The 24,817-nt window shown below is 40.1% G+C and overlaps 1 protein-coding gene across 6 annotated transcripts in view, besides 1 other annotated feature; it reads left to right on the top strand.

Annotated features, from left to right (window-relative positions):
* Positions 1 to 23,319, top strand: part of CEMIP2 (cell migration inducing hyaluronidase 2) — an 86,101-nt gene extending 62,782 nt beyond the window's left edge. For all 6 annotated transcript variants that reach the window (XM_047423136.1, XM_005251869.5, NM_001135820.2 and 3 more), the window contains 7 exons: positions 1,882 to 2,090; positions 5,861 to 6,043; positions 8,481 to 8,700; positions 12,078 to 12,176; positions 16,439 to 16,593; positions 20,839 to 20,942; positions 21,292 to 23,319. In XM_047423136.1, coding sequence (XP_047279092.1) covers positions 1,882 to 2,090; positions 5,861 to 6,043; positions 8,481 to 8,700; positions 12,078 to 12,176; positions 16,439 to 16,593; positions 20,839 to 20,942; positions 21,292 to 21,488 — 1,167 coding nt within the window. In that variant the 3' untranslated portion in view covers positions 21,489 to 23,319. The remainder of the gene's footprint in view (positions 1 to 1,881; positions 2,091 to 5,860; positions 6,044 to 8,480; positions 8,701 to 12,077; positions 12,177 to 16,438; positions 16,594 to 20,838; positions 20,943 to 21,291) is intronic.
* Positions 15,511 to 16,710: an enhancer, noted in NCBI's record as "CDK7 strongly-dependent group 2 enhancer chr9:74304891-74306090 (GRCh37/hg19 assembly coordinates)". NCBI's record gives its function as "activates an origin of replication core promoter dependent on BRD2, BRD4, P300/CBP, MED14 and CDK7 cofactors, with strong dependence on CDK7, by STARR-seq in HCT116 cells {active_cell/tissue: HCT116}" and the evidence as "EXISTENCE:reporter gene assay evidence [ECO:0000049][PMID:35650434]".

The following is a 24,817-nucleotide window of genomic DNA, read 5'->3' as shown; positions in this document are numbered from 1 at the left end:
TTTTAAGTGATCATAAATGTTTCTATAAATATGTGGTTATGGTAGCTCTTTTATAAATTACCATTGCAACTACCAATGTGACATATTTTTCATTTATTCAACATTCACTCAGTAAAGCATTCAGTCCTTTGAATATCTAATGTATTTGAGAATATTAACCTGATCTATATTACAAATCAGAGTAGTAATTCTGTTTATAGATGAAGAAAGAAATAAGTCATCTAATACTCCTCAGGGGGCACTGGGAATCGTAGGACTATGGACCAGAAATTTACTCCTGAGAATTTGAAATTTGGGCCAGAAGCCCAGTTCTGCAGCCATTTGTTGTTACTTAGAAATGATGTAGTATGCCAAAAATGGGAGCAATTGGATCTCAAGATAGAATGATCATGATTTAACTATTTGTAAATATTTTTTAGTGGAATATGTGCTTTTTTTTTTTTTCCTTTTTTTTTGAGATGGAGTTTTGTTTTTGTTACCCAGGCTGGAGTGCAATAGTGCTATCTTGGCTCACTGCAACCTCCACCTCCCAGGTTCAAGCAATTCTCCTGCCTCAGCCTCCCAAGTAGCTGGGATTACAGGCACCCGCCACCACACCTGGCTAATTTTTGTATTTTTAATAGAGACGGGATTTCACCATATTGGTCAGGCTGGTGTCGAACTCCTGACCGCCAGGGATCTGCCTGCCTCGGCCTCCCAAAGTGCTGGGATTACAGGCATGAGCCACTGTGCCTGGCCGAATATGTGCTTTTTAATGACCTGAGGGATAAAGGTACTCAGGGAGAAAGATGGTGATATAGGGAGAGTTAAGGTTACTAAGGCAGGGGACAGATATGCAGTGTATGTACAGCCTCCTATATATATATACACACACACATACACATATATAAATGTACATGTAAATATACATATACATAAATATATATAAATATATGTTAAACATAAGTATGTTTAAATTAATATATATTATATATTGAGTATATATTTAAATGAAGACAATCAATAGTCTTAAAAATGTTTCCTGTCTATTTTAAATCTTTAAGCGGTGTCAGTAGAGTATTAAATAATTGAGGTAGTTAAAAAGGACATAAAATTGAGGAGTCAATATGGATAAGATTATAGAAATGACAGGGAAAAATACAGAAGTATTGTAGATTAAATGTCAATATTCTGCTGCTGCTTTAATATTCTGGAGAATTTGGTTACAGATACTGATTTGTTTTAGGAGATTTGTTCTAAGAATTTTCCTTTGTAGGATACATTTGGGGATGGCTTTGTTTTGGCATGGCAAGTAGCTCTAATGCCACTGGAATACATTCAGGACTTTCAAATTTGTCTCAGTTTAATGTTTTTTCAGTTGTTGCACAGTACTTTATAACTTTTTTTTTTTTTGAATGGGTGAAAAATGGCTTTGTGGGCTGACGTAGGTCATGGAAAATTGAAAGCCAAAGCTCTAAGATATATAAGTTTTTCATCTCTTGGTTTAGAAGAAAGTCTCTTAGATTTGAGTAGAGGATATCAGTTTTCACATTAGTTTACTAATTTTTTTTTGTATGTGTGTTCTTTAGACTGAGAGATTTCTTTGACAAGCTGTATAAGCCACAGAAGTTTTATATTCTGATGAATAAGCTGGCCTGTAGTGGTGGAAGCGATGATGAAGATCTTGGCTAGCAGAGCACATGGTCTGTTTTTACCATTTCTAGTTTAAGTAGGCTGCACTATAAGTGGCTGAGGATGTAGTTGGCTGCTGCTCACTTAGTCTGGCACAGATCACAGAATCTCCCTTTTCAAAGTTGAGACACTTGACTTTGTGCTGAAAATGTCTTTTTAGCTGTTTAAATTTTCATTCTCTTCCCTTTACTTCTTGATTATTTTTTCAAGGTCTATGTACAGACATGGAGCACTCAGAATCTTTCTATGACCATTACACGAGATGAGTATCCGTCCAACCCTATGGTGCTCCGAGGTATTAATCAGAAGGCTGCCTTTCCACAGTACCAGCCTGTCGTCATGCTGGAGAAGGGTTATACCATCCACTGGAATGGGCCGGCACCACGGACTACATTTCTATACCTCGTCAACTTCAACAAGTATGTTTCTGTTACTGTTATTTCAAATAGTTGAGCAAGTAGTAATTTAGTGGAGAAAAAGAATAACTTATGTCTCCTTTGCAGCAAGCAAAGAAAGCCAATTTTACATACTTTGCTTCTCTTGTGGGGAGGCTGTATATTTTGTGTTGATGGAATTAAAGAGATTATACAAATTGAATCCTGTCATTTCAAAAGCTTTTTTTTTCTCTGTGGTCAAGTTATTATGCACATAAAGCCATTCAACGATAGGTTTTAATACTGCTGAATGCTTTAATTCCCTCTAGCTGGGATGGGAAGTAGTTTTCTATGCTCTTCCAGTGGAGCATTTGCTTACCTGAAAAATTAAAAGATTTTTGAGGCTGAGTTTAGACTTGGCAGAAGAAAGTAGTGGGATGGATTAGTAATGCCTGCTAGGGGCAAGAAGTGAAAGAGTTGGGACATGAAGGCCAGGTATTTGCTAGCCCTGCCTGAAAGCACTATTTTATCCCTTCTTGATTTCTCAGTTGTCTGTTCTAATCACAGGCAATCCAAGGGGCTATTTTTATAATTGATTTATTCAAGTGTTTATTGTGTGTAAGTTGACATAAAGGTGAATGAGAGAAGTACTTGCCTTCTAGGAGTTCAGAGTAGACAGGTAGAAAAAACTCAAGTAGATAGATAAACCAAAGCTATTTTTTAGTGGACAAATGATAGAGCAACTATTAAATAATTCTGCCTAAGGGAGTTGAGCCAGGCTGCAGTGAGGAATGATTCTGATGAAGCAATCTGTCTTGTTATATTAATAAAAGCACAGTGTTGGGAAAGGGCCAGTTCTCCTGGGGGAAATGATGGAGTCAGTGTGATGGGGACATAGAGTGTGTCAGGGGAAATGACAGAAGGTGAAACAAGGAAGGTGGGATGGGACTATTTAGAAAGGGAGGGGTAAACCACATGTATCTTATCAATCTAGATACATGTGGCTATTAACCCATGCGACTCCATGAAACTGCTGAGATATGTACCTGAAAAATTGAAATGGCTTGTTCACCTGAGTCGTCATCAAGCCCTGACTTGTCAGAACACTCTTAAAACATCCAGTTGAAATGAACATAGAAGGACTAGAGCATGTAGGAATTCAGCTTTAAGAAAGTCACTTCCAAGGATGATGAACATCGTGGCAGATGCCCTTGTTCTGAGATTGTTAGGGCTCTGGCATGTGCTCTGAGCTGAACCGTTACCATTACTGTTACTGTTTTCCTGTAATCCTTGCTGCGGCCCTCTGTGCCCCACCCACACAGTCAACCAAGCCCCAAGGCCAGTACTCATTCCTGTCTCTTCCTTTTCCCTCATCACTCCATCTTATCCGTAACTGCACCCTGTTGGTTCCAGCTCCTAAAGTCATCTAAATCTGTCCACTTCTTTCTACCCACAGTGTTTGTGGCTAAGTCAAGCCCTCACCATCTCTTGCCTGGCTCCGTGGAGCAGTCCCCACTTCAGTCTCCCCACCTCCAATCCTTAGTCCACATTGTGGCCAGAGTGAGATTTCTGAAAGCCCAATCTAATATCATCAGTGAGTTGCAGAGAAGTCAATGAAAGAAACAAACAATTGTCAGAGAGGATGGAGAAATGTCAAAGGGTGATCAGTACTCTATAAGTTATATTGGGCAGAATTATGAATTGGAGGTGAGGTATGACAATAAAATGATATGCAGTGTTTTGTAAAGTACCGTGCATACCTTTCCATCAGATACTGAGCAAGTAAAGACATTTTAAAGTGAAAAAAAATGCTGAGCCTAGAAGTTTCAAAAATCCACATGGGCATGAAATTCAGTCATACTTGTTTAATTAGCTGAAAGTTTATAAAAATTACACGATGGTCAGAGGCAAAAGGAAGAGATGGACAATTTTTTACCCCTCAATTTAAGATAATTATAGGGAAGTCATAGATTTTGTCATAATGCCATTTCTGAAAATAACACTTTTAGAAGTTATGAAGGCAGTACTTATTCATTAAACAAAATAAGGAAAATATAGAAAAACATAAAGAAAATGGAAATAATCTACAGTTCTCCTAACCAAAGCGAGGCATTGTAAACATATATAGTACATTCCCCTCTTTCTAACCTCAAGTTGCTTTGTGTCTATGGATGTGCCATAATTTTTTTAACTACCCCCCTTACCCCATGAACATTTAGGTTGTTTCTCCTGCCCGCCCCCCCGCATTTTGCTATTATAGACAATAATTCATAGAACATCTTTTCTATCTTTTGTCTGCATTTTCTAGTTATTCTTTAGTGGGGTTATTTTTTTCACTTGAAAACCTAGGTGAACAATATTTTTTTTTTTTTTTTTTTCCTTGAGACAACATCTTGCTCTGTTGCTCAGGCTAGAATGCAGTGGTGCAATCTTGGCTCACTGCAACCTCCGCCTCCTGGGTTAAGTTGATCCTCCTACCTAAGCCTCCCAGGTATCTGGGACTACAGGCGTATGCCACCACACCCAGCTAATTTTTGTACTTTTTATACAGATGTGGTTTTGCCATGTTGCCCGGGCTGGTCTTGAACTCATGCACTCAAGTAATCCACCTACCTCAGCCTCCCAAAGTGCTAGGATTATAGGCATGAGCCACTCCGCCTGGCTATGTGAAGAATTTTAAGGCCTTGTTACATATTATTTAAACATTTTTTAGAATGACAAAAAAGTTTGGGAAATAGTGATGATGATTGAACAACATTGAGAATGTACTTATTGCCACTGAACCATATGGCTAAAAATTATTAAAATGGTAAATTTTATCCTAGGTATATTTACTATAATAAAAAGGTCAAAAAAGAGAGAAAATGATAAAAAGTGGAAATGTTTTTAATTTTTAAAAAGGATTAATTTTATATTTAAGGACACTAAGAAAATCCTAGGGCCATTTAGTGATATGCATCAAAAGCTTTAAAAAGGCATATACCTTTACATACAGCAATTTTCCCACTAGGAACTCATCCTAATACATTTATAAAAGGTAAAATTATAAACAAAAAAATTATTTAGAATGCTTTTGCCAATGTACAGTTCCACTCTCCATATATTAGTGTTTCTATCTTGTACACCTATACCCAACCATCTCACTTAATTTTCTTATCTTTTTAGAGTGTCTAAGTCTGTTTTATCCAACTTTTTAATGTTCTTTCAAATCCTCTTAAAACTAAGAATTTTTAGGGCTGGACACGGTGGCTCACGCCTGTAATCCCAGCACTCTGGGAGGCTGAGGTGGGCGGATCACTTGAGGTCAGGAGTTCGAGACCGGCCTGGCCAACATGGTGAAACCCTGTCTCTACTAAAAGTACAAAAATTAGCCGTGCATGGTGTTGTGCCCCTGTAATCCCAGCTACTCGAGAGGCTGAGGCAGGACAATTGCTTGAACCTGGGAGGCGGAGGTCACAGTGAGCTGAGATCGCGCCACTGCACTCCAGCCTGAGTGAAAGAGCAAGACTCCATCTCAAAAACAACAACAACAAAAAAACAAAAACAAAAAAAATTGTAAAGGCTCATATTTTTGCTGTATATCTATTGATATGAGAAATTTGAGCAACAGATGAAGGTGGGTGATTTGTTAGTATGCCATGGTTCAGAACTTCCACTGTCAGTGGCCCAACACACAGAAGAAATTTAAGGAGGAGAAAACTATGGGCAGGAAGTGGAAGAAGTGGCACATGAAGGACAGTTATCTGCATACGCTATAGTACTTAACAGATAATGGCTGAAGTGTAAACTAATTTTTTTATGTTTCTCCTTTAAAGGAATGACTGGATTCGAGTTGGCCTTTGCTATCCATCAAACACAAGTTTTCAAGTTACCTTTGGCTATTTGCAGCGGCAGAATGGCTCATTATCCAAAATCGAAGAATATGAGCCTGTGCATTCACTGGAAGAACTGCAAAGAAAGCAATCCGAGAGGAAATTCTATTTTGACTCCAGCACGGGGTAATTCAGTGAAACCAGGGAATGAGAATTATTCCTATTTTTCTTTAATGGTGAAATTGCTAGTTCTTCAGCATCGCGGCTGTTTAGTGAAGCAGCTGATGTGGGTAATTCTCTGCACATCTTCTCTATTAGAGGTTTAGAGGGGAACTAGAATGGCTCGTAATTATAGTTGGCAGTAGGGATCGAGTGAAGATGTTTGCTGTATACGTATTGAGGCAATTTAGAGAAAGAAATTATCCCTTGTCGATGAAGAATCAGTAGGCCCAGTTGGAAATTACAATAATTTTTTCCCATAATAATGTTCTTCATATGATTATTTACATGTGATATAGTTCATATTTCAGTGAAAGCTCATTTTTCTCTTCCTGACTTAGGCTATCTTACAAGTTGACCTTGAGTTTTTGAAAATCACTGTGTAACTGTGGAATATTTGCTTTCAACTTTCTCTAGGCTGCATCTTTCCACTTTTTAATTCCAATCCTGTTCTTCTGGGGTCCTGTTGGTTTTGACTGCTTTTACCCAGTTACAGTCTCTCAGCCTGTGGGCTATGGTAGGCTCCATCTCCTGTACTCTTCCAGCAGGTAGCGTGTTCCTTCAGCCTTTCTCCTCACGCAGACATTCCTCCTATATGCCATTGTCTATGCACTATAAAGATACCAATGGAAAGAAGATGCATTTCTTCTGCAAACTCACCGTCCATTGAGGAATGTGGGCATGTAAATCAAGTCATTAGAGAAGGAAAGGTTGAATGCTCTCGGTTCTATATTCAATGTGGCTTTTGGATTGCCTCAGAAGTTCAGCCTAGAGTAACCAGTGACATCCTGAGAGGGTGATCCTGGAGCTAATTCTTGAGAAACACTTAGGAGGAGATGGAAAAAGAAGTGGGTGAGATGTCTTACACAGAAGAGACAGTGTGCACAAATGCATGGGGGCATGGTAGAACATGGCATTGCGTGTTTGGGGAAAGGCAAGAAGTTCAGAGTGGGGAGAAGGGTGGCGAGATTGACTTGGGGAATGAAGTCGGGGCTCAGTTGTTAAGTGCCTGGTTAGCCTTTAAATAAGATGCAACTCATTTGCCCTCCCAGTCCCCCACCAGCCAGTGTTATCAGCTTAAAAGTTTTATTGTCATAATTGTCTCCAATTTTTAATTTTTCTTTCTTTTTCTTTCTTTCTTTCTTTTTTTTTTTTTAAGAGACGGTGTATCCCTATGTTGCCCAGGCTGGAGTGCAGTTCACAGGCATAGTTGTGGTACACTACAGCCTTGATCTCCTGGGCTCAAGTGATCCTCCCACCTCAGCCTCACAAGTAGCTGCTGCCACCACACCCAGCATTGATTTTCAATTTTTGTTTAGACTTAAACAACTACCTGGACTTTCATTCTGTAGATGATAGAACTTCCAGATTCCCACTTGATTTTCCACAAGAATAAAAAGAATATCCACATTTGGAAGGATAGTCTGGTGACAAGTTAATGATTAAAAGTGTAAAAAGATGGAAAATACTTTCTGATCTGGGTATTTCAAGAATCCTGAGGTCCTAATTCTTTTTATTAGATTGGTGCAAAAGTAATTGCGAATTGCGGGTTTTGCCTTTTTTTTTTTTTTTTTAATGCTCTCAGTCCTAGAGATACTCAGTGTGCCATTTGAGCTGATTTATACCTCATAATCTCAACTTTGTACTGTTTATTGACCTCATTAAAATGTGAATTCTTCATTTCTAGTAATCAATCACACTTGATCAAGTTTTTTTAGAATCTTGACTTCCTTTGGTTTGGAAGGACTGGGTTTGCTGATAGAGATTGAACTGCTACCTGGAAGTTAGACTTTTTCATTCATCTTGGCAGTGGGAAGATAATTCAGAATGGGTGGGATGGACTGTTCATTTTGCCTGGTTTTGGCCCTAATATAGACCGAAGGAACCCAGGTCCATCTGCTCTTCATAAATATCACAGGAATTGATTTGAGACTTTATCTTGGCCTTAGCCAAAGAAGTCACAGTTCCTGTTTTTATTATTTCAGTTTTATGCCTTAACCAAAATGATTTATGAATGAGAACAACAAAAAGAATGAACCACACTAATTTACCAAATCCTAAACTCAACACATTATGTATAAAGTGTTCCAAGGAATTTTTGAGCCAAACCAAATTTCATCCCCCCAAATTACCTATCGAACTAATTCAAACCAGAAATCAGCTTTGATATGTTCCACAACAATGGAAGCAGGGTATGACATATTTCCTAAAGTGTTACTGCATTTGACTTAGGACCCTTGAAGGATAGAAAGAAAACAGAAATAACTATTCATTTTGTAATTTATGTTTTAAGGAAAAGTTACTAATTGGAGGAATATCCCTTTTGGCCATGAGCTGATTTGAGGAATTTTGTAAGTTTTTGAGAATAAGTCTAACTACATGGATTGGTTTCTGTTTTGTGCAGGTTACTGTTTTTGTATCTCAAAGCCAAAAGCCACAGGCATGGCCACAGTTACTGTTCATCTCAGGGATGTGAAAGAGTCAAGATCCAAGCAGCCACAGACTCAAAGGACATCAGTAACTGCATGGCCAAAGCATACCCACAGTACTACAGAAAGCCGTCAGTGGTCAAGCGGATGCCGGCCATGCTCACTGGACTCTGTCAAGGCTGTGGCACTCGGCAGGTAAACAAGGATGAAAAGTGGTCTGTGGCCAAGGAGAAAAAGTCAGAGGGTTTCTTTGCAATAGGAGCACTTTTCTTTGAAACATCTATATTGCCCATTTATGGACATTGCATGGCATCTCCTGAATTTTGGCCCATGCTAAAATGTGAAGCGCGTAAGAAGCAAACTAGTTCAAATTTATGACAGAGATACTTGCCCCTGTGATACGTCAGTTTACCTTGAACAACTGCAGATTTTCCACAGTTTAAAATTAGAGGTTGCTATGTTGGTCCTCATTTTTTTTCTTTCTCAGATGTTTGATTCTGTTGCAATATGACTGTTGGATTTACATGCCAGTGATGTAAAAAAGATACTTTGTTTTGTTGGCACAGTGTGAAATTTCTTTTCAAAAATACAGCTAATATGAAAATTGTTTCCTTTTTATAAGGTGGAAATCCGCTCTTATTTTTGAAGCATATGCTATTATATCTATCTGTAATTAAAGTACAGACTATCACATCACTTTATCATTTTTATTTAAAAAAAAAGTACCGACTGACTTTGGTTCGAAATGCAAATGCTTCTTCTAACATTCTTGATTAGATGGCCGCCTACTGGATCTCAAGAAAGCACTGCAATGAAAGTGAACCCAAAATATGAACTAAAATTGGGCATACAGAAGGAGTTCCAAAGGAAATCAGATAATTCCAAGTGAAAAAACAAAGGATGGAGCTGCCCTGATTTATATTTCACACAAACAAATATGGGCTAAGGGAAATGGTTCTCAAAGTGTGACCCCCAGACCAGCAGCATCAGGATCCCCTGGAAACTTGTGGAAAATGGGAATTCTTGGGCCCAACCCTCATCCTACTGAGTCAGCAACTGTGGGGCTGCGGCCTGGCAATCTATTTTAACCAGCCCTGCAGCTGATTCTGATACATGTTCACATTTGAGTTCCACTGATAATTTTTTTTAAAAAGCAATAATTACCACAAATATGCATACTGCCTATTAATATGGAGAAAACTAAATCTTTCTTTTCATTTCTTCCTATTCTAAGTGATTTAAGAAAACAAAATTACTTCCACTAGTAAGTTCCATATTTCTCTCTCTTTTTTTTTTCATTATTTATATCCATTCATGGCAGTAAGACCAGGAAGAAAGAGGTGGATTTATGTTTCCCACTAGAATGTATAAGTCTTTTTTTGTTTTGTTTTGCTTTTTGTTGTTGTTGTTGAGATGGAGTCTCTCTCTGTTGCCCAGGCTGGAGTGCAGTGGCATGATCTCGACTCACTGCAACTTTGCCTCCCGGGTTCAAGGGATTCTCCTCCCTCAGCCTCCTGAGAAGCTGGGACTACAGGTGCATGTGACCACACCTGGCTAATTTTTGTATTTTTACTAGAGATGGGGTTTTGCCATATCGCCCAGGCCAGTCTCTAACTCCTGACCTCAAGTGATCTGTCCGTCTCAGCTTCCCAAAGTACTGGGATTACAGGTGTAAGCCTCTGCACTGGCCAATTTTTTTTTTTTTTAATGGCAACTCTACTATCAGTCTTAGTCTCTCATATTTCTGAGCCACCTCTACTCTCTCATACAAGTAAAATCAAAAATCAACCAACCAGAGAAACCAACAACAACAAAAACAACCCTGTATATGAAAGTTATATGATTCCTTGCCAGGCTGATATAATAATCTGACTGTTAAAGTGACATTTTGAGGTAGTCTTTGTGGGGAAGTAAATTTTCCAGCCTAATTCTCAAGCTGGATTTGTTAAGACCCTTCAATACTGAAGAGACTTTGTATAATCTATAATAAACATTATAACTTATAAAAATAATTTAATTAACATTGGAAATATTCTAGGCCTATGTTGTTAAATGATTCCATGCACTCATACTTAGCATTCTTTATCTTTTGTGCATGAAGCATTGATCAGAATTCATTTTTTTAAAATGTATTGATTACTGACTTTGTGCAGTTGCAAAGTAGTTGAAGTCGCTGGGAACATCGCTTTTACTTGAAAATTTGTGGGTAATTTTTTTTTTCTTAAATATAGAGGCGGGGTCTCACTATGTTGCCTAGGCTGGTCTCAAAGTCCTGGGCTCAAGCGATCCTCCCACTTTGGCCTCCCAAATTGTTGGGATTACAGATGTGAACCACCATGCCCGGCCTAATTTTTGTTCTGACTGTCAAAACCAAACACATTTATATTAGGAGTAAATAGGAAAATTCACAGGAATTTTTGACCCCAAACTTGGAGACTTCAAAGAACTACCCAGCTTCCGACTTGGGATCATTTTGACTGTTTATTTTTTGTTTTTTGTTTTTTTTGAGATGGAGTCTCACTCTGTCGCCCAGGCTAGAGAGCAGTGGTACGATCTCAGCTCACTGCAACCTTCATCGCCCAGGCTCAAGCAATTCTCCTGCCTCAGCCTCCCAAGTAGCTGGAACTACAGATGTGTACCACCTGCCTGGCTGATTTTTGTATTTTTAATAGAGGCTGGAGTTCGCCATGTTGACCAGGCTGGTCTTGAACTCCGGACCTAAGGTGATCCACCCATCTCAGCCCCCCAAAGCGCTGGGATTACAGGCATGAACTACCATGCCCGGCTGATTGTTTATTCTTGCAGGGAAGTTTTTAACATTGGTTTATATGGACAGTGTACCTCTAAGTGTTAAATTGTGTGAGAGTTAAGTGTTTTTGAATGAGAAGAGAGCCCTTAGGGAGGAGACAGGTTTTGGAGACTGGGAGTAATTTGGAGGAGTACAGGGAAAAGGGAAGGGCATTCCTGGGAAGGGAACAGCATCAGCAAAGGCAGAGTGGCAAGGAAGAGGGTGGAGTGCTTGTGGGAAAGTGAGGCCCTGCCTGAGTGTAACAGCACAGGGAAAAATAGGGGCCTGTCTATAAGGCACAACTCTGTTTATGGAATGCCTTGCAGGTCACAAAGAGGAGTTGAGACCTGCTCATGTTCAAAGTTAGTAAACGTTTCTTAACAGGGTAGTCCTTGTTATCTACACTTCTTTCCTCATTCCTAGAGTGACTGAGGGACCATGGTCTGAAAAAAACTTTAAAAAATATTTGTGCCTGTTTTTCCATAAAATGTTTACAAAGATTTAAATATAAATATAAAGCACATTTATTTAATCAGTTATGGAACTGAAGTGAACAACAAGAATAATATTTATTTGAAACTGGGATTGCTCCAGAAAATGAGGAACAAATATATACTTACTGTGTTAAGAATATCAAGATGGAATTCTAGGTCATGAAATATGTACAAAAAGTTCAGAATAAGAAATACAACCACTGGCTTTAATTATAATTAACTTTATATTGAGGGAACCTTTTGGAGGAAGGTAAGAGTTGCCATAAATATGGAACTTCTTCTCTGTCTAGGTGGTGTTTACTAGTGATCCTCATAAAAGTTACCTCCCTGTGCAATTCCAGTCACCTGATAAAGCAGAAACCCAGCGTGGAGACCCGTCTGTTATTTCTGTAAGTACCATCTGGTGTTGTCTTAGTCTGTTCTAGGTGGTATAACAAAATGCCATAAACTAGGTAGCTTATAAACAACAGAAATTGGCTGGGTGCGGTGGCTCACACCTGTGATCCCAGCACTTTGGGAGGCCAAGGTGGGCAGATCATAAGGTTAGATCGAGACCATCCTGGCTAACATGGTGAAACGCTGTCTCTACTAAAAATACAAAAAATTAGCTGGGCGTAGAGGCGGGTGGGTGCCTGTAGTCCCAGCTACTCGGGAGGCTGAGGCAGGAGAATGGCCTGAACCCGGGAGGCGGAGACTGCAGTGAGCTGAGATCGCGCCACTGCACTCCAGCCTGTGCAACAGAGTGAGACTCTGTCTCCAAAATAAATAAATAAATAAATAAATAAATAAATAAATAAAAATAAACAACAGAAATTTATTTCTCACAGTTCTGGAGGCTGGAAAGTCCAAGGGCAAGGCACCAGCAAATTGAGTGTCTGGTGAGCCTGGTTCATAGATGGTGCCTTCTTACTGCGTCCTCACAGGGTAGAACGGTCCAGGGGTCTCTCTCAGCCTTCTTTTATAACAGCACTGATCCCATTCATGGGGGTTACACTGTTGTGTCCTGATCACTTCCCAAAGATTCTACCTGCTAATACTGTTACCTTGGAGATTAGGATTTCAACATAGAAATATTTGGCAGGACACAGACATTCAGACCAAAGCAGATGTGTACACCGTCACAGCTTCTTGCTTTTATCTTCTATCTTGGTGACATGAATTACTTCTGGCTATAGTCACTGGTTTGTCATCACATTTTCTATTGTTGGTAGCAAGCAATACAATAGAGGTATAAATAACTCCTAAACATTTGTGTTTTTAAATACATTTAAGAAATGTTTTTTTCCTGAGTAGATTGTGTTTATTCATTAACCTTATTCTTTGAAACTTAAAATAAGCTTCAAGATTGTTTAAGATATGGGAAATGAAAGTTTTAACATCTCTTCGGCCTTTTATTTTAAGGTTGCCTCTTCTCTATTTTTTCAGTTGAGGAAAATGAAGATGCAAAGTGTTAGTTGTCTTTTCTAAGTGGCTTGATGGAAGTATAGACATGAGTTGCAGTGTCAACACTAGCATTTGCGCATAGAGCAAGGTTAGCCACTGAGAACCAGGTCTCAGCATGTGGCCTGTCCAAAATCAGGTTGACCTAGGTGCCACCATACAAAGAACTCTTTGGGTGACAGGTATCCAGCCTTTCAGGTAATACTCAGCCAAGGCCTGTGCCATCTCATGTGGTCTTTTTAGGGGCTTGGTTTTTTTAGTGGTGGGCAACATAATCACAAATCCACATATATGTGGAGAAAATTAAATTTTACTTTTTTTCTTAATTTTTTTATTGTCATAAAGTACACATAAACTTTACTATCTTAACCATTCTCAAGTGGGCAGTTCAGTGGCATGAAGTCCATTCATATTGTTGTACAACCATCACTACCATCCAGCTCCGGAACTTAAGTTCTACTTCCCAACTCTGAATTAAGACTATCCCTATGTAACTGTAGCTCAAAGACTCTTGGTTTTTGTTGTTGTTGTTGTCGTTTGTTTGTTTGTTTGTTTTTGAGACAGGGTCTCCCTCTTCACCCAGGCCAGAGTGCAGTGGCGCAATCTCGGCTCACCGCACCCTCCACCTCCCAGGCTAAATTGATCCTCCCACGTAGCTGGGACTAAAGGCACATGCTTTAGTCCCACTTGGTTAAGTTTTAAAATATTTTTTATAGAGATGGAGTCCCACTGTGTTGCTCAGGCTAGTCTTGAACTCCTGGGCTCAAGTGATCTTCCTGCCTTGGCCTTCCAAAGTGCTGGGATTACAGGTGTGAGCCACCACACCAGGTTAAAGTTTCTTCAAGTCTGTGTTTATGCTTGTTCCCCTCCTTTAGCAGTCCTGCATTTTGTAATACACCCGTGATGTAATTTTATTGGCATGAAATTTGCTAGCTCAGCATCTGAATGCAGTCAGCTGCATGAGGAACCTGATCCCAGCCTGTTAGCATGGTAACTGGTGGGAGTTGCATGAGGGAAGCAGGTGGGTGCTGAGTCTCACTGTTCTAGTAGTTTACTAGGTAATAGAGAGAGAGAGAGAGAGAGAGAGAGAGATGGGGGGTAGAGAGAGAGAGAGAGAGAGATGGGGAGAGCGTTTTGCCAAAAAAAAAAAAAAAAAAAAATATCAGGCAGGCTATGCCCCAGAGTCTGAAAACATTGTTTGACTCTGTTGTTACACACTGGGTGCCTGGGACTCTAGAAAAGTCATATTTATCCCCAATGCTTTTTACATTCATTATCTGAAAACTCTTCCCTAAGATCTGGGATTGCATTAGGGGTTTTTGGTTGTTTTTTTTTTTCTTTTTTTTTTTAAGATAGAGTCTCGCTCTGTCATCCAAGCTGAAGTGCAGTGGCTTGATCTTGGCTCACTGCAACCTCTGCCTTCTGGGTTCAAGAGATTCTCCAGCCTCAGCCTCCCGAGTAACTGGGATTACAGGTGCTAGGCACCATGCCCAGCTAATTTTTTTATTTTTAGTAGAGATGGGGTTTCACCATGTTGGCCAGGGGGCTGGTCTTGAACTCCTGACCTCAGGTGATCCACCCTCCTCAGCCTCCCAGAGTGTTGGGATTACAGGCATGAGCCACTGCACCCAGCTGCTTTGGGGCTTTTTTTTTAAGACAGTGTCTTGCTATGTTGCCCAGGTTGACCTTGAACTCCTAGACTCAGGTGACCCTTCTACCTCAGCCTCCCAAGTAGCTGAGATCACAAGCATGGGCCACAGTACCTTGCTTTGCTTTAGTTTTCATGGAAAGTATTGTGGGTTTTTTAAGCAACAGGCTTTGGGGATACTTTTCATGGGGGCAGTCTGAATATGTTGAGGACTGTTGGGTATTTTTTTTCTTAAGTGTACCTCAATTTTAAGTAGTGAGATTTAAAAACATAAGGAAATCATATCTAGTCTTTCCACATATAAAATTTACTTCAAATGCTTCCAGAACTATTTTCACTGGATTGGTGCAATTAGCTAAAGGGCTTTTTTATTTATTTATTTTTTTTTTCCTGAGACAGAGTCTCACTCTGTCACCCAGGCTGGAATGCAGTGGCACCATCTCCGCTCACTGCAGCCTCCACCTCCTGGGTTCAAATGATTCTCCTGCCTCACTCCCAAGTAGCTGGGATCACAGGCATGCACCACCACGCCCGGTGTATCTCTAAGTAGAGATGGAGTTTCACCTTGTTGGTCAGGATGAACTCCTAACCTCAGGTGATTCACCCACCTCAACCTCCCAAAGTGCTGGGATTGGATTACAGGCGTAAGCCACCACACCTGGCCTTAAAGTGCCATTTTGAATACCAGTGAGATCAAAAGTGATTAGAAGTAAAATTTAAATATTATAATTTCCCCAGGCATGGACAGGTGTAGTGGTAAGAACATTTCTCCTTTGTTAGCCTTTAGCATACTTTATAATTTTACACCTTATAAACAGGAACAGTGCCTATGGGTTTAATTAGTGCTTAGTTGTTTTGTTTTGCTCCTTCATTTTTGGCTGAGAAATTAATGATATTTGGAAATATCTGGAGTTCCTTTTTCTTGAAAAGGTCACAAACCACTGATTTAAAGAGGATGACTTTGAAAATTTAGCTCACAATAGTTGTGAAATAAATGTAGTAGTACTTTGTAGCTTAAATTCCGGTAAAATTATCACTTTGTCATTTTGATCTCAGAGGAGAGCTATTATTTGTAGCAAACTACAAATATAAACTAACGTGGAATTCCTGTGGATCAAGGCATGATACATATTTATATGTGTGTGTGTGTATTCTTTTCTGAACCAATATGACAATAAGCCATCTACTCTGAAGTACAGAGGCAGCCATCTATCATTGACTTATAAAGCTTTGACCCCAGTGAGAGTGTGTGTAAGAAGGAATACCTTGAACACTTCAGAGTGAAGTCACCCAGCTTAGCTGAGTGGGGGCCACCATGCCTTGCTCAAAGCAGGTTCTCCAGTCAGCAAACATCAGTCAAGGCAGAATCTATAGGCAGTGCCTAGGAACACAGACGCAATTTCAGATGGTGAGGAAAAAGCAAGTGAAGCACACAATTTGAATCTTGGAAATATACTTTGAATCATGGGTTTAGAAGACACAGGGAAAGGGCCGGAAAAATGAGTCATCCTGCAGATGTTCTCAAAATGATGATGACAGCAGAAGATGTTTTTGCATTCTCAGGTCAATGGCACTGACTTTACCTTCCGAAGTGCAGGCGTCCTCCTCCTTGTTGTGGATCCGTGCAGCGTTCCATTCCGCTTGACGGAAAAAACGGTTTTTCCTCTTGCTGATGTCAGTCGCATTGAAGAGTATTTAAAAACAGGCATCCCTCCAAGGTAGGTCAAGCTTGTGCTGTAACAGGGAAAAGCCACCTTAAAGATGTGGAGTGCTCCAAACTGATAATGCCTGGTCAAGTCCGATTTTTTACTCTCTGGACATTCAGGGCACTATGCAAGGTGTTCATTCCTCTCCTACCTCAGATTGACGCCCATGTCGTCTAAGCTGCTTATCATTGACAAGCCATTGCTTACCTGTGGCAGAACTTGGATGTTGCAACATTTTGCAAAATGGTGGGAAGGCTCTTCAGAGGAAAAGAGCTCATTATTTGGAACATTACTATCCCACTTTTTATTTTATTTATTTTTTGAGTTTCGTAAAACAAATATCAGAGCATTATACTTTTTAGTATTAAGTTGATATACTTTGTCCACAACTCCCTCAGAAGGCTTATTACTATTTTGAAGTGATTTTCCAGGCAGTTTACCTTTGCAACCCTCTGTCGCACTGACGGTCTTGGACAGCATTGCACTATGATTGTGATACAGGAAGTCATCACCTGGGTCACTTGGAAATGACTGGAAAAGAGTAAATTGATTTTTGAAGTGGCTGAGTGTGCAATCGCTCTTACAGAGCACTAGTCTGATTGGTTTTCTTTGATGTCTCTGAAGAAAGCTGCACAGGAGAGAAACCTTTCTTTTTCTGGGTTGGTGAGACCCTGCCTGGAGGCAAGGAGATGAACTCAGGGTGTTTTCTGCCTTTGCCGCAGATGTTGATTTATACACCCGCTTTCATTTAATGGAACCATTAAGGAAGGAACTTAAGCTTTCCCCAAATTAAAGGCCTATCTAGCTTTAGAATCATTTTCCAATAGCTTATGCTTTATAGAACCGGATGCCAATAAATTCTATGAAGTCACTGGATTATTTGGATGTAACATTAAATGTATATATGTCGTTCTGTCTTCTGGCTTAAGACACTTGTACAGCCTCAATTTTCTTGCAGGATTTAAAGATTTTTCCTAATGTTGAAAATACATGCACTCACTTCCCCTAAAACAATCCAGGACATAAATCTCACCACAAGTATTTAGGACAACATGGTAGTCCTGCAAGGTACCCCATAGATTTAAGAGGTAAAACCAACTCATTAACAGAAAGGCTTTTAAGATACTGGTAATGCTGTTTCTTGATCTGCCTCTGGTTATGCAGATAGGTTTCGTTTGCAAAAATTCAGTGTGTGTGTAACATTTTAACAAAGTGTTAAGAAGGTATGGAGCAACTGGCAGTGACTTCTAGGGAGACTGAGCACGTGTCTATGTGTATAGGGTTGCGGGGTGACCTGTAAATGATCTTATGGGTAATTCTGACCTATTGAAGAAGGTCAGGTCTGCAGGGTAGCCGTGCTTAGACTGCTGCACTAATTTTAGATTGTGTCACCACTGCTTTAGAAAGACTACAGTAGGCCAGGCACGGTGGCTCACACCTGTAATCCTAGCACTTTGGGAGTCTGAGGCAGGAGGATCACCTGAGGTCAGGAGTTCGAGACCAGCCTGGCCAACATGGTGAAACCTCATCTCTACTAAAAATACAAAAAACTAGCCGGCATGTTGGTGGCACCTATAATCCCAGCTACTCGGGAGGCTGAGGCAGGAGAACTGCTTGAACCTAGGAGGCAGTTTGCAGTGAGCCAAGATTGTACCACTGAACTCCAGCCTGAGCAACAGAGCGCGACTCTGTCTCTAAAAAAAAAAGAAAGAAAGAAAGACTACCATAAAGAACCCATACCAGCATGAAACTTAAGGTACTTAATCTTAAGAACCATCGAGACCCACATTAAGACATACCACACAAATTTCAACTTCCTGTAGGTATCCTTGATGACTCTGAAAATAAATCAATCTAATGTTACCTTTTAATTAATAAGAGCTACTCAGAGCCCCCTAAACACTGATTTGTTCTTGAAAATTTTTGTTTCAGTAATACCGGCCAAGAGTTCAGGCACAGTGGCTCATGCCTATAATCCCAGCACTTTGGGAGGCCATGGCGGGACGATTGCTTGAGGCCGGGAGTTCAAGACTAGCCTGGGCAATGTAATGAGACCCTGTCTCTATGAAAAATTTAAAAATTATCTGGGTATGTGGGCACATACCTGTAGTCTCACCTACTGAGGAGGCTAGGACAGGAAGATCCCTTGAGCCCAAGAGTTTGAGGCTGCAGTAAACTATACTTGCATCACTGCATTCCAGCTGGGGTGACAGAGCAAGGACCCTATCTCTAAAAAAACAAAAGAAAACAAAAATAGTTGCCCAGGCTGGAGTGCAGTGATGTGTCCACAGCTCAATGTAGTCTTGACCTCTCAGGCTCAAGTGACCCTCCTACTTCAGCCTTCCAAGTAGCTGGGACTACACGTGCACACCACCAGCCTGGCTGGTTATTTTTTGTTTTTGTTTTTGTTTTTAATTTTATTATTTTTCTAATTTTTTGTGGAGATGGAGTTTTGCTGTGTTTCCCAGGCTGGTCTTGAACTCCTGGGCTCAAATGATCCTCTCATCTCAGCCTTCCAAAGTGCTGAAATTAAAGGCATGAGCCACTGCACCCGGCTGGCCAAGAACATTTCTGATTAAAGTTTTTGAAAGAGTGAGTTTGTATGTGTACACACACACACACACACACACACACACACACAGAAAATAAATACATTATTAAATATATTGCTAAAGGATATGCAACAGAAGTTGAATAAAAGGAGAGACTCTGTTTCTGAATGGAAAATTAATAAATGTTAATTTCATGGACCAGTTTCATGGAAGATAATTTTTCCATGGACTGGAGGTGGAGGGGGATGGTTTCAGGATGATTCAAGTGCATTACATTTACTTAGTTAAAATATAAATTTGACACATTTCCATTAGTGTCCCAAAAGGTACTTTTCTACTGTACTTGACAGTTGATACTGTAGTTCATCTGGAAGAATAAATGAGAAAGTAGTAAAATATAAACAAATTACAGTAATACAAGGGCTTGTTTTTATCAAATATTAAAATGGACCGTGAAGCCATAGGCCAGCATAGTTTTGGCAGAGAAGAGCAAGATCAGAGAAGAACGGAGAATCCACAGATAGGTCCAAGTATGTATGTTGGCTTACTATGTGACAAAAATGGTAATTCAAACCATGGAAAACACATTTAGTCGTTTATTTATTTTTAGAATTGTGTTTATCCATTTATTTAATAAATAGATAATAGAACTTAAATAAATAGAGTATTTGAAACAAAACAAAACCATTCTCCCATGTTACAGTAGACTTACTCCCTGATAGACAATGGAGAAGGAAGGGTGAGGGGTGGATGACAGGAAATTACTGAATAGGCACAGTGTACATTATTTGGGTGATGGATACCCTAAGTGCCCTGACTTCACCACTATGCAATCCTATGTATGTAATGAAATTGCACTTGTGCCTCACAAATTTATACAAATTATAAACAACAACAACAACAATAGACTATTCCCTAAAAGAGCTGTGCCCCAGACCATCCACTAGGTCAGCAGTCCCCAGCCTTTTTGACATCAGGGACTGGTTTCATGGAAGATAATTTTTCCATGGACTGGAGGTGAAGGGGGATGGTTTCAGGATGATTGAAGCACATTACATTTACTGTGCACTTTTTTTCTATTATTATTACATTGCAATATATAATGAAATAATTACACAGCTCACCATAATGTAAAGTCAGTGGGAGCCCTGAGCTTGTTTTCCTGCAACTAGATGGTCCCATCTGGGGGTGATGATCAACAGATCATTGGGCATTAGATTCTCAGGAGCACACAACCTAGATCCCTCACATGTGCAGTTCCCAATAGGGTTCTGCTCCTATGAGAGTTGAATGCCACAGCTGACCTGACAGGAGGCGGAGCTCAGGCTGTAATGCAAGTGTTGTGGGGTGGCTGTAAATACAGATGAAGCTTCGCTCGCCTGCTCACCTCCTGCTGTGCAACTTGGTTCCTAATCTACTGGTACCCATCCATGGCCCAGGGGTTGGGAAGCCCTGCACTAGGTGAACGTACGTAAATGATTTGGTTTATGTATGCGTTACCCCTTGTAAGAGCAACGTGTGAAGCCCATGGTGGTGGGGTGGAAGAGTGGGAATTGGATGGAAAATCATCTAGACTTTTTTCTTTTTGGAGTTCTGCTTTTATCTAATATTTCTATTCAGCAGTCAGTTCAGAAAGATACTCAGTAGAAAGATACTCATGCTGAAGGATTGAAATTGGCTCTGACTTTCTAAATTTCACATACAGGTCCATTGTTCTGTTGAGCACAAGAGGAGAAATAAAGCAGTTAAACATTTCACACTTACTAGTACCTCTGGGATTAGCCAAACCAGCTCATCTTTATGACAAAGGTTTGTATTTGTATTATTTCATGAAGTTCTTACAGGGCCAGCAACATAGGTAATTTTATGGTGCAATTCAGCTACCAGACCATTTTCATGAGCTTGTTTGCTGGAGTGGGTATCATTAAGATGATTTCTAAATAAGGGCACAATGTGAGAGGAAGTGTGTTGGGATGTGGTTTGTTATCTGGGGCAAAAGGTGGGTGGTGAGAGTTCATTTGCTGATGTAAGGAAGTGCAGAGTTTTTTAATAGCTGCCTTTGTTTTGCTCACCTCCGACTCACCTCCTATATTCTCTTGCTGGAATGTAGCTATAAAAATTGATTTTTTTTCTTTTTCTTTTTTTTTTTTTTTTTTAGGGAGTACCATATTTTTGGGATTCAGTGGAAACTTTAAACCATCATGGACTAAGCTATTTACCAGTCCTGCTGGACAGGGCCTTGGGGTGCTTGAACAATTCATACCTTTGCAGCTGGACGAATATGGTTGTCCCAGAGCCACCACTGTCCGCAGAAGAGACCTGGAACTGCTAAAGCAAGCTTCAAAAGCACATTAGAGACTAACTGTAACTTAAGTGCTGGGGGAAAAAAAATGTGAACTAACTTATTTAATTTATGGCATTTTAAAATGACACTGTTAACCCAACGGAACCATTTTCCAGTTTGATACAGAATGGGGAGAAAAGAAAGCGTTTGAAATTATTGCTTGGATACCAGCTTCATGCACCTTCTAGTTGTACAAAATGTTAAAGACGTTGTTTGTATTTGTAAGGCTGGTGTATTCAGAGAGCAGATCTCTTATTCCTCACTTTCCACCCCCGTATTTTGTAATGACCATGAGCAATGTTTTTACTTTTTGTATAATGGGGTGGGGTGGAGTGGGGGCTTCTGAGAGTCAGCCTGAGGTCTTTAGAGGACCAGCTATTGTAGCACCTTGGATACTTGAAGTTTAATGCTCAGTTGGGTCGGGTGGCAGTTGACTTGGTGGCTGGCATGTTCAGCAGTGCCTGGGGCCCTGTTTCTGGGCAGCCTTTGAGGATTTTCTATGATATTGAATGACAGTTTTAAGTGGCAACTCAGGCCCAGCTCATGCCCTTTTTTGCCTGGACATGTGCTATTTTTATTCACTTATATATCAATTACTTGTAAGGGTTAAACTTTCAAACAGGAAGTATATTGGGACAAAAGGGCTCTTGGGGATTAGATATCCCTTTAATCTGTGACCATTGGGCAAAAAATTTTCCTGCAGCAAAAGTCTGAGGCTGTTGGGACCATTTTTGCAGCTTTAATCCTTAGCCTCTTTTGACTGTATATTTGTGTTTAAAATGCAGAGCTCAACTGAATATTTCCTTTTTTGTTTTGTTTTGTTTTGTTTTAAGAAGTAGGTTGTTTTCCTGAACCGTAAACTTGTATCATTTTAACTTGCACAAAGGAAGTCTGTTCTTGGTATTGCTCTTGCACTTGGGTTTTTTGTTATTGTTTTGTGTGGATTTTTTAAAGCTTTTCTGTTCACCCTCCTGCCAGGAAAATCCCAGAAAGCTTAATGATACCCCAAAATGATTACACCCAGGGAGGAAAAAAAGGAGCGCTTTCTAGGGTCAGAATCGTGGAGAGAATACTCAGAAATGAACCTCTTTAAAGCCTTGCAGGAATGAGTCACTCTTACTTAATGAAATGTTAAAGCCAATTAAAAAGCATGCTGTGATGCCCAGCTTCCCTTTCCACAGGGTGCATGCGTCTCCTGCTGGTGAATCACATGCGGCAAGAGGCAACTGGCTCCACAGCCTGGGATGCTGCCGTACCAAGAGGAAAGAAGCAGCAAAATGCCTTTACGTTGTTCTAAACCCCCGACGCATAAAGTGTAGAGGAGGGATGGCCAAGGGTGGGTGGTAGAAAGTGTGTTCAGGCTGACACTGGCAATGAGTACAGATAATTTCACTTTCCTCTTCTAGGGGCAAAGGCTGATGGCCTCTACCTTTGTATCCAGGAGAAACTGCAGAGCAGCCCTGTGACTTTACAAAATATGCTACCTCAAAGTGCTACCGATAAACCTTTCTAATTGTAAGTGCCCTTACTAAGGGCACATGTCTTAATCAAAGTTAGTTTTTTGTTTTCTGGTTTGTTTTTTTTTTTTGTATATTGATGAATGAGATCTTACCTATTAAATATATTATTGGATTATGGTTCCTGAAGGTCATTAGAGTGTGTGTGTGTGTGTGTGTGTGTGTGTGTGTTTTATGACTTAAATATCTTTACGTGTGTTTTTTAGAGCTTGGTTCTTTAAAGATTTGGAGAAGATATGTAAATTACCAAGGCACTTGGTTTTTCTGTTTTATATACTAATAATCAGGGCCTAAGTTAAATAAAAATATGTGTGCATGTATTTTATATATGTGTGTATGTGAATTTATTTATTATTTATTTTATTATTATTGTTATTATTTTTGAGATGGAGTCTCGCTCTGTCACCCAGGCTGGAGTGAGGTGATGCAGTCTCAGCTCGCTGCAACCTCCACCTCCCAGGTTCAAGTGATTCTCCTGCCTCAGCCTCCCAAGTAGCTGGGATTACAGGCACCCGCCACCATGCACTGCTAATTTTTGTATTTTTAGTAGAAGTGGGGTTTCACCGTGTTGGCCAGGCTGGTCTTGAACTCCTGACCTCAAGTGATACTCCTGCTTTGGCCTCCCAAAGTGCTAGCATTACAGGCATGAGCCACCGCGCCTGGCCTGTATGTGAATTTATATCTCTATCTATAAATTTAAAATTCCAGATTCCAGCTGTAAAGAAGTTACTGACGGAAGTGAGGAAGACACTTGGTGGACAGAATCCACCAAGTAAATATTGTAAGAGTAAGCTTCAGAAGGGCAGGGACTGTATTCTCCAAGGCAGAGGTTCTCCATCTTGGCTGCACACTGGAATTACCTGAGGAGCTTTAAAAAAAAATATAGAGGCCTGGACTTTACTCCCTTCCCCCCAGATTCAGATTTAATTGGTGTTGGGTGCAGCCTGAGCACTGGAATTTTTTTTAAAGCTCCCTGGATGATTCTAATATGCAGCCAGGTTTCGGAACCACGGCACTAATATAATAGGCCCACTGTTTAACTCCAGTCTGTAATTTTTTTGTGACTAAAACAAAATTGCATTTACCTATTATTTTTATTTGCATTTCCTATATTACTCACAAAACTCCCAGCCCTAAACAAAGCATTTCTCTATTGTCTCTTTTTAATAGAAGCTTTTAATACAGTTTTTAGTCCTCAGTCCTCTCAAATCATTAAATTGGTTCTATACACTGATATATACATTTCAGGGAATTGGGAGCTAGCAATCTGTTCTATTTCTACCAAGAAAATATATTCAAAGGTGATTTATAAGTTCATAAGCATTTTCCATCAGGTGAGGCAGTTGGTTGAGCTCCAAAAATGTGGTCGTCCACAAATCAGCCAGCTGACGAGCAACACAGAGGGCTCTCATGTATCCACAGACTAGGGTTTAAGTCTTTGCTGTGATTCCTGCCTCTCCACCTGAGTCAGCATGCCATATATTATCTTCAGAGGCTGGAAGAGAGTGCTGGCAAGAAGATGAAAGGCAGACGCACCATCTCATGGACTATGACTGCAAAGCAGCCTCTAAGCTGATGTTTAGACTCGGGGATGGGAAGAGAGGATTTATGACTCCTCTGTTCTCTAACTTCATCAAGAGACAACACATCCTCATGCCATTAAAGTGGGTTACTTTGTCTTGAGGAGGGGAAGGTAATGAAGTGACAGATCGAGGCTTGAGTGCTTTAGATAACTACAGTAGGTTTTCATTCCTTAAGAGATGAGGTCATGTTTGGATGTGTCTGGTTGAGAAGCATTTCAGTAAGAAGGAATGAGCTTAGTT

This window comes from Homo sapiens, chromosome 9, assembly GCF_000001405.40.
Source record: "Homo sapiens chromosome 9, GRCh38.p14 Primary Assembly".
Taxonomy (NCBI): Eukaryota; Metazoa; Chordata; class Mammalia; order Primates; family Hominidae; genus Homo; species Homo sapiens.
Note: the sequence above shows the minus strand (reverse complement) of the source record. Positions and strands in the feature narration are given on the sequence as shown.